Source organism: Homo sapiens, chromosome 16 (assembly GCF_000001405.40).
Source record: "Homo sapiens chromosome 16, GRCh38.p14 Primary Assembly".
Taxonomy (NCBI): Eukaryota; Metazoa; Chordata; class Mammalia; order Primates; family Hominidae; genus Homo; species Homo sapiens.
Genome location: NC_000016.10, coordinates 74,187,281 through 74,192,391, shown reverse-complemented (window position 1 = coordinate 74,192,391; position 5,111 = coordinate 74,187,281).

Below are 5,111 nucleotides of genomic sequence, written 5' to 3'. Positions count from 1 at the left end.
TTCCTTGGTTGTGGTCTTTGGACTGTCACCCACCAAGTGATAAAACCCACCCATTGTGTGGGTAACAATATTATCTAAAATTCAATATGTAAATGCTGGAGAAAGGAAGTATCAGAGTGGGGAGGCTCCATGATCTCATTTTGCTAAATGTAGAGCCAGTTTCACACATTTTTAAAAATTTTTATTTCTGAAAAATAAAAGGTAGAGAATATAAATTTTAAAAGTTTCATAAAGCTAATCTAAAAGTACTTTTATATCTTAAGACTTTGTATGGCCTGTAAGAAAAAGTTTACTGATCCTATGCAAAAAAACATCATGTAAAAAGTGAATCTGCTCCAAAGTCAGAAGTGCTTATTGAATACCCATGCTTTGTCAAGCAACGTAGAAGAGGATAAATGTAATATTAATACAGTGTTAAGACTAGGTCTCTTTCCTTAATGTCTATAGTCAAATAAGGGAGACAAAATACATGAGGAAACATATATTTAACATAAAATATATGTTAAATTAACATAAACTTTATGTTAACATATATTAACATAAAATTTAAGTTGCCCAATATGAGGGTTACAATTTTATGGTTTTAAATGAAATCAGTGATGCTACTTTAGATTCTGACTTTCTTCCTCTAAATGCAATGTCTCTTTTTCTCTCTGCCTGTCTTAAATATTTTTTCAGCAGTTTGACTATGCAATATATCAGTGTTTTTAATTTTTGTTTTCCTTTAAAAAATCTTGCTTATGATTCTCTGGGATTCTTGGATCTGTGGTTTGTTGTTTTTCATTAACTTTGGAAAATTCTTGTCCATTTATCTCTATTCTTGAACTTCAGTTACATGTACTTTAGGCCATTTGATTTGCCCCATAACTCTACTTTTTTTTAAAAAAAATTTCTTTTTATTCTTTTTTCTCTATCTGTTTTAGTTTGGACATTTCTATTAATCTATCTTTACATTCACTGTGTCCTGTCTGCTAATAAGCCTATCAAATGAATTTTTCATCTCTAAAAATGTTTTAATTTCTAACATTTCCACTGGACTCTTTTTATAGTTTCTATCTCTCTGCTTAAATTTCCTATCTGTTCATGCATGTTGTCTAACTTTTTCACTAGATCATTTAACACAGTAATCATGGTTATTTTAAAGTCTCTGTTCAGTAGTTTCAGCATCGAAGTCATCTCTGTGTTTGCTCCTGTTGGTCAATCATTTGACAATAGCATGCTTTATCTTGCTTTTTTGTGTGTCTTGTACTTTTCTATTGAATGCTGGACGTTGTATGGAGAAGAAATGAAGAGACTGAGTTGAACAGGCTTCAAATCCCTTGGTGATGGCTGCCATTCCCTTGAGTTTAGAGTGGGATCTGGAGTACTGGATGACTTTTCTCAGTGTTCCCATTCTACCTTGCTTGCCTGAAACACAGAGGGTCTCTTTTCACGTTCTTGCCTTGCCAGTGTTAAACTACTGTTGCTTTTAATTGGTTTTGGGCTTGGGTGGGGGCAGAGGGGACTCTCTCTTCTAATGCTCCAACCTCAGTCTTAGGCAGGCCCTGTAAGCCTGGGCCTCGAAACTGGGGTTTTCTCAGCATTCCTTCATCTCCTCTCTATGTCAGCTGGATTCTGCCTTGTATCTGTGGTTGGTCTTAGGTGGGAGAGAATTTTTTGTCTCTCTCCTAGCAGTAGCTGACCTGTGTCTGGCATCATTGCAGAGTCTTGGGCCCAAGATTTCCTGCCCAGTTCCACAGACAAGTGTGTCTGCTTGAAAGGGTCTTCATCAGTGCCTGTCTCCATCAGCAGCAGATGTGTCCCTGAAGGATGGCTCTCTCAGGTTTCCTGCTCTGGTCCCTGTCTTTGTCTTCAGTATGTGTACCCAGGGGGAGGCTTATGAAACTGAGGTTGAAAATGAGATTGTGAGTGAAACTTCCCCTGTGTCTGGGGCTCCTAGCTCTTCCAAACTGACATGCCAGCCCACACTTGCCCTTTAAGAATTCATTCAAATTTTGGCTGATTTTTTTTCTTGCCTAGTTGAATGGTGACCACCTCTGTCTCCCCTGTTCTGCAAAAAGCTTTGTGTGCAATCTAACTTTGGAAGCTTGTCCCTCTTTGGAATTCAGGTTACTTGGCTGTGTTATGATTTCAGCCCTCTGATGGGCTCAAGAATAGTTACAGTTTTGTAGATCATCTGACTCTTTTGTGGTTGTTAGAGTGGGAGCAATATTCTTTTTATGGCATTCATCATCCTAAGTAGCAATGGAACTCTGAGTTTTTTAGTTAATGTGTGTGCATTGGTATTACCACGCTAATCAAAATGAAATCTTGGGATCAACTAGAAAGCACTAAAAAAAAAACTTGGAAGAGAAACATAACCACTCTTTTCTCCTTAGTATCTGTAAGGTAGTTGAAATAGTTGAAACGGTATTAAGGTTAACCTTGAACTTCCCTGAAGCTATTTCTGAATCCAGAGTCCTAATATCTTAAAATTCGAACCCATCCCTATCCCTCTTCCTTCCTCCCTCCTCTAAAGGAATCAAATGGAATGGAAGGATTGAGGCTGAATGTCTCCCACTGCAAACTGGGCAAAGGCTCTAGAAGCTGGGTAAGCACTGTAGAGACTGATGGGGGCTCTAGCAGCAACTACAGCAGTAGCTGTGTGTGTGTGGGAAGAGGCTATCTGGAATATATGTATAATACTTTTATTTTCCCCTCTGCTTTTCATTTTAGTTATAATCTCCTTAGAAAGTTGACCACTCTGCTTTTATTCCCTCTATAATTTCTCAGCAACTAAGTGCCTGTATTTGCTGTTTGTAAAAGGGTCACCCAATATTACATAAGAGAAATGGTGAGCATTGGGTCCTCTGGTTCTCCCCTTTCTGTAAAGGGGACAAGTGTGTCTGGAGGACAAGACTTTGATGTCATCACCATGTAAATCGTGGCATAATTCTACAACAGGAAGAACTCTTTAGCTACATTATAAATTAAAGTTTTGTTTATTCTTATGGCGTGGTAAATTATAATTTGTTGTCTTTGACCTGTAGGAACCCAGTTGTCTTGATTACAGTGTCTGGATATCAAAGGATGAATAAGCTTTATTTCCCTCTCTGAAATGAAAGACTTGTAAAATAATATTTAAAAAACCCATTCATAGCCACCAATAGCTTTAATTAATTAAAGGTAGAGGATCTTGGTTACACAAAATATATGCACATCTTTGACTTCAAAAAGTGTCCTTGTGTCTTTAGTGGATTTGTTAATTGTCTTTGATGTTGGATCACCAATGTATACAGCTGGTAGGGTCAAATAATTTGGGAAAGTAAATATTCTTTCTCACTATCAACACAGAGTTCAGAGCTGTTCTCTGAAGAGCTGTCACTGACAGAGGAAAATACGGCCGTGCGAAGAAAACTCTTTGCTTCCATACATGGACTTCAAAAATCTGATCTGGTAGCTTCTCTTAGACACAATCTCAGTCCTTCCCTTTCATGTATGCACTCTTTTCTGCAGTATTACACAAGTTCTTTGACCTCGAGGTTTTCTGAATAGACATATGGAGAAGAGCAACAAGATAAAATTACGTAGAGCAAAATAAGCACGTTCGAACCAGAATTTTAACACGTATATTGAAACAATGATCAGGAACTGTATTAGTCTGTTCTTGTATAGCTACAAAAAAATACATGAGGCTGGGTAATTTATAAAGAAAAGAGGTTTAATTGGGTCACAGTTCATCAGGCTGTACAGCAAGCATGGTGCTGGCATCTGCTGGGCTTCTGGGGAGGCCCCCAGGAAACTTACAGTCATATAAAAGCTACACACTTTTAAACAACCAGATCTCTCGAGAATGCACTCACCATCAGGAGGACTGTACCAAGGGGGATGGTGCTAAACCATTCATGAGAAACCCACCCCCATGTTCCAAACACCTCCTGATGTGGTTTGGATTTGTGTGTCCGCCCAAATATCATATCAAATTGTAGTCCCCAGTGTGGGAGGTGGGACCTGGTGGGAGGTGATTGGATCATGGTGGTGGATTTCCACCTTGGTGCTGTTCTCATGATAGTGAGTTCTGGTGAGATCTGGTTGTTTAAAAGTGTGTGGCACCACCTGCCCCCCGGCTCCCACTCTGGCCATGTAAGAAGTGCTTGCTTCCCCTTCTCCTTCCACCATAATTGTAAGTTTCCTGGGTGCCCCACCTTCCCACTCCCACCCCCCGAAGCAGATGCTGCCATGCTTCCTGTACAGTCTGTGGAACTGTCAGCCAATTAAATATTTTTTCTTAAATAAATCACCCAGTCTCAGGTATTTCTTTATAGAAGTGCCAGAATGGCATAATACACCTTCCACAAGGCCCAACCTCCAACATTGGGGATTGCATTTCAGTATGAAAGTTGAATGGAGAAACACATCCAGACTATATCAGGAACCATAACTGGATGTCTTTTCAAGCCAGTAGGTTTATTCTGGGGCTATCTTTATTTGAGAAGATTTTTTTATTCTTCAATGTGAACCACATATATTGAATAAAAAACAAAACAGAGTTAATACCCATGATATTTTAACACATTGGATGAGAAGAAAGTTGAAAATGGGTTCTGCCATGTAAATATAATTTAAGTAAAATGCTTTTTGAAGGAGCAATGTGAATGACTAGACTTAGGAAGAAGCAAACGTTTGGGAAATTTTGGACTTAAGTCTGGTAAAGTATAGTTTGATTCTTTTTTTTTTGTAGTTTGATTCTTGACATTAGTGAAATAAAAAGAAATTCAAAAGAATCTCATTAGAAATTTCTGGGTTTCAGTGAATCTGGTGAGCTAGCTTTGGGTTGAATGGAAGGGTAGAATTGTAAGGAAATGAGATATTTAGCAATCATGTCACAGGCTTTAGAGATAGAGAGTTTACCAAAAATTCATAGAAATGCTCAACCAGGAAATCTGCCTTTTCCCCTTATATTTAATAATTGCAAAGTGTAAATGTAATTTGCAGTGAATGTTTATATGTCATTAATGTTTTTTAGTTAAGAAATCAAAAATGAAAGGGAAATAAGGAAGAACTGACTCACATAATACTAGATGTGTACGAAATGCTCTTTGGAGTTGGCTTAAAGGAATCCAAAAGGATAA